Source organism: Homo sapiens, chromosome 11 (assembly GCF_000001405.40).
Source record: "Homo sapiens chromosome 11, GRCh38.p14 Primary Assembly".
Lineage (NCBI taxonomy): Eukaryota > Metazoa > Chordata > Mammalia > Primates > Hominidae > Homo > Homo sapiens.
The window spans coordinates 41,995,650-42,008,390 of record NC_000011.10 but is presented as its reverse complement, the minus strand read 5'-3'; the positions used below and the strand labels follow the sequence as shown (position 1 = coordinate 42,008,390).

Genomic DNA, 12,741 nt, shown 5'->3' with positions numbered 1-12,741 from the left:
TATATTTAGAAAGCTCAATCTAAACTAATTCATATGTTAACACTTATTTACATTAATTCATTAATTTATTTAGCAAACATACTCCAAGTAATGTGCTGAGTACTCAGTTTGTGAAAACAAAGACCGTATTATATTCAGCTGTCAAGAAGCTCAGCCTGTAACCTTAAACCTAATCTTAACCCTACCTATATCTTATCCCTATCACACATAAACTATAAATCACAACTCTTCATTATAAGGTCTATGGTAGAAGGAAGAACAGGATTCAAAGTGGGCCAAAGGAAGAAATGACCAAAGAAAACGAGTGGATTTTATTCACTGAAACAATAAACTTCAAACGAAAGTGAGCCAGCATCAGGGATGTTCAGAACAATTCACTGGGATACTAGAGGAAAATAGAGAACAGCTATACACATTTATTGTTATCTTGTATTATTTATTTTTGTTTGTGTACGATTTATAGCACACACAGTATACATAATACAGAGATATATCATTTATAATTAAGTAATAGACTCCTAGGAGCAATTACTCTTTATTTTTAACTTATGGTGTACACAACAAAAAAATCATAGACTATTGCCTGGTGAGGTGGCTCACACCTGTAATCCCAGCACTTTGGGAGGCCAAGGCGAGCAGATCACCTGAGGTCAGGAGTTCGAGACCAGCCTGGCCAACATGGTGAAACCCCATCTCTACTAAAAACACAAAAATTAGCCGGGCATGGTGGCAGGTGCCTGTAATTCCAGCTACTTGGGAGGTTGAGGCAGGAGAATCGCTTGAACCCAAGAGGCGGAGGTTGCAATGAGCTGAGACAGGGCTATCGTACTCCAGCCTGGGCAACAAGAGCAAAACTCCAAAAAAAAAAAAAAATCATAGACCACTTATCTTGGAATCATCAAGCAACCGATTGATTTTAAGATGGTAATAATGTAGATTTTCTATTTGAGGAAGATGAGTTGGTGACAATATGAAGGGTAAATGGAGTGGAGTGAACACTGGCAAACATAAAAGTGAAGGATGGTGCATTTCTGAAAGAAAGTAAGTAAAGTGAAAATGAAGAGTAGAAGACTGGCTTGAGATATGTCAAGGGAGGATGAATCAACAGGACTCAGCATAGTGCGGTCTATGAGGGGAAAGGGCACCTAGAAGAGGCCACCTTTCAGATTCTAGGTTTGGTGACAGAATTAATGGCACATCATTAATTGGAATATCTAACACAAGAAAGGATTGGGCTAATTTGCAATAAGAGGAAGCATGAGTTCAGTTTGGCATTTGAGTTGTAGATGGGGGAGGCATCTTTCTAAAGTAGAGATGTTCAGGTAGCAGTTGAATAATTAGCTCTTTTACTGAAGAAGGACCAGATGGTGATTCAGATTTATGGGTGCTTTTAAACATAGATGGTAGTGGAGTTGTTTATCTTTTAAATGAGGAGGCCAAATTTAGATTTCTTGGAAGCACTTAAAACCTTGTGCATAGATGGAATAAATAGTTGCTTCCATAGTCTCATTTCTTAGTGCTAGAAAATTCTTCCTGAAACAGATTATTTGTTACATAGGGCTTTATTTGCAGCCCCCAAAGATGGGAATCTTGGAGTACTTACAATGAATAGAATGAACGAGACTGTTCTAACATTACAATGGCTGCAGAGATCAAAACAGGGACATTAAGCTAAATAAAAGAATCCAGGCATGGAAAGACCAATACTGCATGATCCCACTTATATGTGGAATCTAAAAATGTTGAATTCATAGAAGTAGGAGTAGAATAGTGGTTACTAGAGACTGAGGATGGAGGTGGGAGGGTGATGGAATGGGGAGTGACTGGTCAAAGTGTACGGCATTTCAGCTAGACTGGAAGAGTAAGTTTTGAGACTCATTGTACAGTAGGGTGACTTTAGTCAAAAATAACATATTGTATATTTTAAAATAACTGAGAGTACATTTCAAATATATCATTACAAAAAATGTCCATGTAAGAGAAGTGATTGATGTGTTTAGCTTGATTGATTAGCTTGATATAATCACTCCACATTGTATATGTATAACAAAATATCACATTGTACTACATAAATTACATTATTATTTATCAATTTAAAATAATATTTTAAAATAGGGCCACATACAATCACAAAAAGACAGAATAGAGCCAAGGGCAGGATGAATTAAGCCTGAATTAAACTGGGGTCATAATAAAAATTTAGGGCCAAGACATGTAAGAGTTTTGTCTAAACAATGAGAAAAGGGACACACTTTGAACATAACCAAATGTCTTATTTCACTGCCTCTACTGCCCACATTTTGCAGATGGCCTGCTATAGGTGGACTTTAATTACTGTCGATATAATAAAAGTTGAAAGTGTCACATGCAGAAGATAATGACACAACACAAAATAGGCAGCCAATTTGCACTGATGATTATTAATTGATGGTCAGTGGATTTTGACCGGTAAGGTCAGGTCTCTTGGATTTTCTTCTTCTTGTTATTAAAGGGTAAATTAAGTGAGTACTACAGCAAATTCCAATTGCTTACTTTTTAAAATATTGAACAGTTAGGCTCCCATGCCTAATCACTATGAAAAGATGTATATAGTGACTCTTGGACCTGTGTGTGTGTGTGTGTGTGTATGTGTGTGTGAATTTATGTGATGTTAATTCATATGTGAATATTATGACTATAAATATACATATATCTTCTATTTTTCAGAAATATGAGATTTTAAAAACATACTAACATGTAGGTTTTATTCATGAAATATTTTTAATTTTTGTAACCCTTTCTCATTTTTAATTACTTTATAATATTCTGTATTACAGAGTTACTGTAATTTAACACTAATGCAGTGGGAATTTATAGATCTGCATTCTTTAACTGTTATAAACAACATTTCAGTGACTCGGGGTATTTTTAAAATTACAATTCCCTAGGAAACTATGTCTATTATATAAAAAATACTCATTTAAACTTATAAATGTCAGCATAAACTACAGTATGAAAAGAATACACATACTAAAATCATCTGAGGAAATAGCAGAAGTACAGAGAGAAGTATCCGAACAATTTAAATTGTATACATACCTGCATGTATATACACTGATGCATGTATGTATATATGTATAAAATTTACATGTGCTTTTATGTCTGTAGGGGTATGTCTATGTGCCAATAATTTGATTTGTATTACTTAAATGTAAGGATGCATGTGTAATGTGACTACTAATTTTTATCTCCCCAGAACTATATGAGTTGGGTGTAAGGTATACTAACATTGTCTAAATGATATCTGAACCCAAGAAACCTCAATTTGGAAAACGTTTTATGCTATTCAGGTGTCTTCTTTGTTGCCGCTGGCAATCTAAAATACTGCCTTAAATTAAATAAACTATAAACTTTAGTAATAGCTTTCAGTTAGAACTACATTCTGATACTCAAATGATGTTGTCATGCTCTCATTTTCTCTCAGTTTTCTTCTGGGGAGATTTTTCACTTGTGGTTTGTAGAGTCTGATACACGATGGGTGTCCGCAGATATTATTTGAAAGGATGAGGGATGATGAGCTGTATTATTAAAAATATGGAAGAATATTTCTTCTTCCATGTTTGCCAATAATTTGAGCAAAAGTCCCATTATTAGGTACCACTGACCTGGTATGACTCACTTGTCTATCATTGCACCAACATTGTGAATAGGGGATGAAACACACAGATGGGCCAGGTATGTCTCTGAGACATGATACAGAGAAGGATACAATTTGATAAATGTGTTTTAAAGCACAGATTTTGTGTCCGATGGTCTATAAGATATTCTGGGGGATCTGCAGATGTGTATGATATCTTCTCTGTCTTCAAAGAATCTACCACCAGGTAAAAATCATTACCTGTAACACTCAGATATGCATGGGTTAAATTTGATAGTATCCACTTCTTTACTCTAGGGATTTAAAAAATCTTTTACTTGGTATACCTCATGAAATCTTCAAGCGAAACTTCATAACTCTGTGAAAATCTTGTGTCGAATTATTATTATTAAAATAAGACATGTTTGGTATTCAGTAATATAAGCGGTTCTTTTTATACATAGTTTATATATTTTGCTTTCTATTCTAATCATTACTACATTTCTGTAAAAAGACTTTTCCAAAGAAAAGTTCTCCTGAAAGTCTAATATTGTTTATTTTGTCCAGTAGAAAATACATACTTTAAAAAGTTTGTTCTTTGGAGGATGTAAAAATAACATTGCAATGAGATATTTGAGTCAAAACTGTCATCATGCACAGAGAGCCACGTTGTAGTTTCTTCTTCATAGTGATGCCATATGTTCTGACTTTACTGAGAGTTACAAGTTATAACTCTCAAGATTAAGGCCAAATGCATGCAACTATTTGGAAAGCCAAGTGGAACTCTGTTGCTTATCCTATCAACTTTTCCATCATCTAAGGTCTTGGCTTAGAATGTTCTAGTGATAATGTAAGAAAAACGTAGCAAGAATATAGCATGGTCTGTCATCATCTACAAGGAATTGACAGAAATATTGCTTTGTCTGTCATCAGATCTTCTGTACTGAGAGGATTAAAGCTTATAAATTGACCCATATAAAATTGCCCATATTTAGGCCAAAATTATCAAATGTCAACCTATGATTCAACCTAACATGGAGGCAAATAATCTATATATCTAAATTTATATAGGCAAATAAAAAGCTATCAAATTACATGAATATAGAGGACACAGTAAAAATAGATGTAACTTTTAAAATCCTGTGTTGTTTATTCTCATGTTTAGCTTAACCAACCCTCTCTTCGTTGATAGTACTAGTAAACTTTAGCTCAAGCACAGCTGAAGTATCACAAATATTTAATTAGTGTGACCCAAATTAACGAGATTGTGGTTCTGCTATATTGCCTGCTTAAACTTATACGCACATTGACTTTTTGTGGAAGGGGAGCCACAAGCAAGGATTTCGTCATCTCTACCTAGTTACTCCAAATTCAAATAATACTGACTTTAGCATCTCATCACGGGAAATTGACATAATTAAGCACTCTTCAAAGAAAAATAGACTCTGATGTCTCCAATGCTATTAAATATTTATTGTGCACATTATCGCAGTAAATTTCCTGACAGAGAGTGAGTCTACCAAAGTAGATCAAATGAGAACATCGCATTGCCTTGTTGCAAGTGTATCCACCTCTATACATTATTAAACAACATACATCTATACACATAAAATATAAATGTAGTAGCCGCATACCGTGGAGGCTGAGGAATCTATGAAAGAAAGTATGTTTAGAGTATGTTTCCCAATACTCCCAATTCTCAGCTCAGATGAGAAGGTTACTATGCTTATTTCTGCCGGCAGATTCCTTCCTGCTGAATATAATTAGATATAAGAAGAAAAAAATAATAATTAAATTATGGATAGTCCTCTTGCAGAAAAATTTTACATCAAAGTAACAAAAAAGGATACTGAATTAGAAAAACAACGCAGTTGTAGAGTCCCTGAATAGGCTTCTTCTAAAAGTAAAATCAACTTTTTCTCAAAGGAGAGAAAAAAGTCTGGTCAATACCATCTCATGGCTATTTTTATCTTATGATCTAGCTGTCCAGAAAAAAACATCTTCATCAGGAAGATTGAGTAACCAGAATAACAAACCCATCTTTTGCTCAAGTAGGATTAATTTTTAACCTTTGAGTGTCTCTTGATTCCAGATGGGAGAAGAGATGTGCCAGACATTTTGCAAAATCATTTGGTTTAAAAATAAAATAACAATGATAGTATGAAATACCCAAGACTTTTAGTGAAAAATAAGAAGAGAAGTTGTAGTCAGCTGGCTTGAACTACTCAAAACGGCATATTCCAATTATTCAGCTATTCAGCTCAAGATAAATATCAGTGCAACCATTCTCTAAATAATCTCATACCCAGCTATAAAGTTAGCCAGTCATTGCCATGGTAATTGGAAAATAATTTCTTCAGAGCAGCACCAGAAAACACAAATATTTATGTATTTTATACATATATATATATATGCCCACATATATATAGTGTATCTATATACACATATATATGTAAGAATTGAATATATGTATTCAATTGAATGTATACATATCTTATATATGTAAGAATTAAAAATATATAAATATTTATATCGTTGTTGTCATGGGAATGGCTATACTGCCCAAAGTAATTTATAGATTCAATGCTATTCCCATCAAACTACCATTGACTTTCTTCACAGAATTAGAAAAAACTACTATAATTTCATATGGAATCAAAGAAGACCCTGTATAGCCAAGACAATCCTAAGCAAAAAGAGCAAGGCTGGAGGCATCACACTACCTGACTTCAAACTATACTACGAGTCTACAGTAACCAAAACAGCATGGTACTGGTACAAAAACAGACATACAGACCAATGGAACAAAACAGAGACCTCAGAAATAACACCACACATCTACAACCATCTGAACTTTGACAAGCCTGACAAAAGCAAGCAATGGGGAAAGGATTCCCTATCTAATAAATAGTGCTGGGAAAATTGGCTAGCCATATACAGAAAACTGAAGCTGGACCCCTTCCTTACATGTTATACAAAAATTAACTCAAGGTGGATTACAGACTTAAATGTAATTGTTAATAAATTAATAAATATATATTAATTAATATGTCTTTATCAACATGCCATCAGCACTGAATATTGTTTTAGAAAAAAATGTTTGCTTAAGATAGATTGATAGATAGAGAGGGAGAGAAAGAAAGACACAGAATTTTAAAAATAGTTTCAGGCATTTTTCCTTTCTCTGTTTTCTATTATCACATTATATTACAATTTAATTGTTTTAAAGCTTACGGAATGATTTTATTATTTATATTATATATCAAATACTTCTGATTTAGAACTGTTTTTGCATTCAGTCTTCTACCCAATGTTACCTAGGTTATTAATGATAAACTGCATATTGAGTACTATGTTTCACTGCTCTTAAAAATTTTCATGTTATGATTTGTGGCTTTCGAATTTTGATGTGCATTATTTTTTCTTGCTCTCTTAAAAAAATAACAAATATATTGATCATTTCTTCTTTGATATGCACTGTTCTAAGTATCTTTTATGAATTACCTACTTTAATACACATTGTTTCTTTATTATTAAACCTATTTTGGACATGAAGACATCGAGGAACTATAGAGCTGATGGAGTAATCTGTACTACAAAGTCAGGCTATCTCTAAATCCTATGTATATAACCAAAATACTACATTATTTCTTTCCTGTGATACATCAAGTTTTTTTTTCCTCAGGAGTTTTTGCAATTATCAGACACATAAAATATCAGATGACAACTTTTTCTTACCTTCACAAAGAAGTAGAAACTTACTTGGGTTTACGTTTCTTAAATCAAAGCGTTTTCCCCCTCAAAAGATAGGGATTTTTAAATAATGCCCTTCTTGTAAAAACAAGCATATTTAACATAAAATAACATATTTCACGGACAAATAAGGTAGGATATTAATCAGATTGTTGGTTTTGTTTTGTTGTATTTGGGAATCAGCAAACTTTTCCATAAAGGTCCAGATAGTAAATATTTTTGGCTTTCCGACGTATGCAGACTGTTGTAACTTCTTCACCTCTGTTGTTGTAGTGTGAAAGCAATCATAGGCAAGTACATAAATAAATAAGTATGATTGTGTTCTAATAAAGCTTTGTTTACAAAAACAGGCAGTGGGCCAGACTTGGTTCTTGTGCTGTAGTTTGCAGATACCTGGTTTTGTTTTGAGCACCTGGATTCTTAGAGTGTTTAATCTTTAAGACAGCTCACAGAGAGGCCATCTTTTACAAATTTCTTGGCTTCAGGATCTTTTTTGTAGAGAATCACATAAAATTAATGTACACTTTTTTCCCTTTTACTCTAGTTAACATTGAAGGAAAAATCTAAGTTTAATACTTCTTGCTCCTTTAAGAACCTCCCACACTTTGATTTTGTTATTAGTTAAAAATAGTCAACTGCCCAGTCACTTGTGAAGTACTTAGGCAATTATAATGTTTCCAATATGAACATTAGATAAGGTATTGCTATGTGCTACAACTCTTAGTCTCCATAATTTCATTTAATAGAAGTCTATCTATCTTGATATGAAATTTGATCAGCAGGCATTGACAAGGGATGCTGCTCTCTGTAGTCATTCAGGATCAGTCATTCATGGATGACACAGGTCATCCATGGGGAGGCTTTAGAGGCCAAGCATTAAAGTGTTGTAAATCATTTCCTTCAAAATCCCATTGGCTTAAAGTTAGTCACATGGCCACATCTAAATGCAAGGGAGGCTGGAAAATACAGCGTTCTGTGTGTAAAGGAGTTTCAAAGAAATGATACTTGGTCTCTTTGACATTATGTTCAGGGCATGAACCTGTTTTCATACATTATTCCTTGAGTACTCTGAGTCTGTCCTTTGCTTACACAAATTTTTTTTCCCAAGCTCAGTACATTTTACAAATTACATATAAATATTATAATGCCTTCTGTTACTGTTAGTCTTCTAGTGCTGAATAACAAGTGCACCTAATAAAAATTAAGGAAAACTGGAAAAATTCAGTTTTGCTATTCCTTTGCCTAAAGCTATGAAATGCTATTTGCCTTCCCAATTATCTTAGGAAATCATGTAAAATATTTTTCCATTGCATAACACTCTAAGTTGGGGACAGAAAGGAATAGAGTCCAACACAAATAATTTTGCTAATCTTCATTAACAATTTCCTCCCTGTTCAACATCCAGCGCTGAAGCCAATGTTACATATTTTGGGAATTATTTTTTAACAGGTTCCCATATCTAAGAACAAACTTTTATTTAGTCAATTTTTAAAATATTGACAAGTGATTTCAAAATCTCAGGGGCTTAGTAGAGAAAAAAATATGCCATCTTCATATTGCAATATGTCAATTGAAGGTCAGTGCTAAATCTTCTCAACTCTCACCCTTTTCCTGTGCCACAAGAATATTATCCTCCATACTGAAGCTGCTTCTTCAGCAAGATCCTATTATAAAGAAAATCTCTGGAATACAGCTGAGTTGAAAAGAGCTGCAGCTGAGCCATCATCAACTTGCAGCTGACATGTAACATGTGTGAGAAATAAATCTTTGTTGTTCTAGGCCAGTGGGATTTTGTGGCCATTTGTTACTAAAGCAAAGTTTATAAATACATAGTCTCTTAATAGATGTACATAGTAAGACAGGAACCTATGGGAAATAGGAAAAGTAGTCTGGAGCAAGTGACAGAATGAAATACACCTGGCTATTCAGAAATTACTTTCCACACAACAGAAAAATAAATATATATGGGTATATATGCATATATGTGTATCTGTGTATAGACCTGTGTGTGTATGTAATGTGTGTGTATGCGGTGTGTGTGTAGATAGTTAGGTAGGTAGATATATTATAGATATAGATATATAAATTTGTTTTAGGGAAGTGCAGAATTGTGGGGGAGGACAGTGAATAAAACTACTTTTAGAGCTTCTTATGGCCATCTGGGCTATTCTGGCTCAAAACTCATATATATACACACACACACACACACATATATATATATATATATATATATATATATATATATATATACACATGCATAGTTTTTGCATGTATAATTTTAAAATATTCTTCTAAATTCATCTTTATTGATTATGTTGTTATTCGAGATTTCCCCTTACACCTTGCATTATGGTCTTATTTTTTCATTTATAGTCTAGTTGTTAGCTTTTGCCCTTTTTTATATCTTTGTGAGTATATTAAAGGCAATTTATAGGCGGGTGTATTGAGAAATATGTGTGCTTCTGTATTAAACTAGATTTATTTTCCAATACTTTTGGATGCTGTTTTTGTCTTCTTTAAAAATAATGTAAACATGACGTTGCACACTTTTCCTAGTGTGGCTGGCTTACTTGGAAACAAAATTGACATCTTAGGAAGAAAGAGTTATTGGTTCAGTGATATTGGTGGCCATCATTATTTCTGTAGATTGCTGGCATGTTTTGGAACTGTAAAGGGAGAGTCTCATTTTGGGGAGGACAGATAGAAGTCTAGGTATTTTAACACTCGCTTTCTCTCCCAGATACATGTTCCATTCATAGTACGGAGGCACTTTGTGCCCCCTTTGCCTTCTCTTCCAGCAGAAGACAGTATCATACTGTATGCTAGGGAAAATTTATAGCTTATTGAATTCACCTGTATTTTCTTCTTCTTCAAGAGCAATGTGAGCAATAAAACATACAAGCTCATGAAAAGACATAACTCTTTTTGTCAGCTGTGTCACTACAATTCAATACATTCACGTACAAGAAGACAGGAGTATCCGCTACAGTGGTACAGCGTTACAAACTCTCACCCTTTCCCCTCCACCCTGACATCTTCCCTTAGAAATAGCAGGAATAATAGTCACTTTGTCATATTCAAATTTCATCACAACAGGACATATTATCTGAGAAGCTAAGTCTTCCAAAAAAGAGAACACTGTCCCTCCTTGATTTATAGTTTCATTTCAGTATCAAGCTCTTTTTCTGCAGTTTGGGGAGCAGGCTTAGACCAGCCTTCTTATAATTCGTCCTTGCTTTCCAACTTGTTTATATTTACCAGTCAGAAAAAAGGATGATGTCAATAGATGAAAAGGAAAAACACAAATCATTTTCTTTATCTCCTCACAGGTGCCTGGAAGAATCACTTATTGGAGGAAAAGGGTATTTAATGCCTTCTTCTTCTTCTAATAAGCAGGACTCTTTCAAATACATAAACTGTTTTAAACTATTTTTATAATGGTTGTTTCAGCAACTCTTTTCCCTCTCATTGATAGTACAGAAAACATACCAATAAAGATGTGTCATATATAAAGGAAGAACTCTAAAATTGATTGAAAGTTGAAATAATTGCCTCTCTGCAGAAATTAATATATTTCAATGAATAATATTTTATGGCAACACGTTTAGAATCGATTTTGTTAAAGTTTTGATAAAAAATAAATACGTTTTGGATTTTTTCCCTAAACATCCCCTAGAGTAAGGGTAGGGTTGTAAAGTACTGTTTATAGTAAAAACTGAATATTGGAGATTTATATAAATATTATGTAAAAAAAAATAAAGACAAGAAAGGAGAAAGAGAAGGTGAAGAAACTGTAAGAAAAGAAAGGGATGAAGAATTTCTGAATTTAAATACTTTAAATTTTTCTAAATTCCATACTGTAGGGTAGGGCACATAGTAAATTATCTGTGTGTGCTTAGCAAATTTGTAAAACCTCACCTTCTCTGAACCTTTGAGTTGAGTGGTTAACCAAATTGCATCAAATTTCAAAATCGAATTAATATTAGGAGCATTAGGCTCCCCTTCAATCTTGGACAGAAGTATCATTAGCACATTGGAAGAAATTTCTAAAGATTTTCCCTTTCACTCCATTTTGACAGGTCCTATTGATGATGATAAATGATTTGTGTGTCAGTTTTCTTTGTACAACTGCATTGCCTGCTAACACTAGCACATTTTTTTTGCTATCTTTTTTACTTGGTGGCAAAGAGCAATGTCCTTGGTATGAGCACAATTGCTTCAGATTTGAAGTACTAAACAAGATAATGAGACCCCATGAGTCACTGATGATGGGAGGAGATTAGATGGAGTGATGGCTCTGCCTCTAGAGACTTCCAGTAGTTAAAAAGCTGCTTAAACCTTCATTCCATAATGAGTCTGACTTCCCAGGGTCTCAACTGTGAGCCAAAAGCAAGTTTGGCACTTTGCAAAATCTATTAAGAGGCAGGGTATGTTTCCATTGAGAGAAACTAACACGTTCTCTTTGAATGAAAATTGGTCAACAATTGGTGTCTGGTAGAGTGACAAAAGCCATAGAGGAAAAAAAATTACAGTTTTGCCATAGTAGAATGAACAGTCAAGAAACTGACAAGTAATTAAGTCTCTTACCTGCCACTAAATTCGAAAGCCTTTTCACAGTTCTAGGTTATTGCATATGTATATAAATACCCTGGGTAGTTGGCAGTCTGTTCTATCAGAGTCTTCATTCAGTGTCTACTGTGCTCAGTTAATGCTGAACGATCCTTGTTTTAACATATTAAAGGTGAAAAATATGTGTTGCTAACATCTGAAAATTGACAGAGACTTTTATTCCACGCAGTTGTTTCTAAACCCAGAGGATGTTTCTTATATGCATTGACTTTCAGCCATTTCATGTGCATGAGATGGTGGTAGATAGAGTCTAGCTGGAATTAATCCTGAGATACAGACTGACAGAGTTCAGGGTTAGCTCAGGAACTAACCATAGGAAAGACATTTGTGGGAAATGTAGTTTCGAATCATGGCGAGAGATAATGTGATTTAGTGCTCATGTCCCACTTTTGTTGCTTTTAATTACATACTTTGGACTGCTGCCTATCCTCTCTGAGCCTCAGCTATCTTATCTTTAAAGTGGGGTAATAAGATGCATAGCCCTCCTATGAGGACTATCTTCATCATCAAGTAAGACGATAATAAATATGAAAGCAATTGAATTGTCAACTGGGAATTAGTGCATGTGCCAGTATTAGTCTTTATCGCGCTTTAATTTAGTTACCATTTATTGAATGTGTGTCAAGTGTCAGGTTCTGTAAAAAGAGCTAGGAATACAAAAATGATTAAGATTCAGTGCCTATCCTTAAGCACAAACATATAATTATTAATAAAATACTCAAATATTCACAGCTAGTCCTAGA

The 12,741-nt window shown here is 34.0% G+C and overlaps 1 long non-coding RNA gene across 1 annotated transcript in view; it reads left to right on the top strand.

Annotated features, from left to right (window-relative positions):
- LINC02745 (long intergenic non-protein coding RNA 2745) overlaps nt 1-6,669 on the top strand; it is an 83,737-nt gene extending 77,068 nt beyond the window's left edge. Inside the window, exons 9-10 of the long non-coding RNA NR_135065.1 lie at nt 2,307-2,501; nt 6,239-6,669. This is a non-coding gene — a long non-coding RNA (long intergenic non-protein coding RNA 2745). The remainder of the gene's footprint in view (nt 1-2,306; nt 2,502-6,238) is intronic.
- Nucleotides 6,670-12,741: the final 6,072 nt, after the last annotated feature.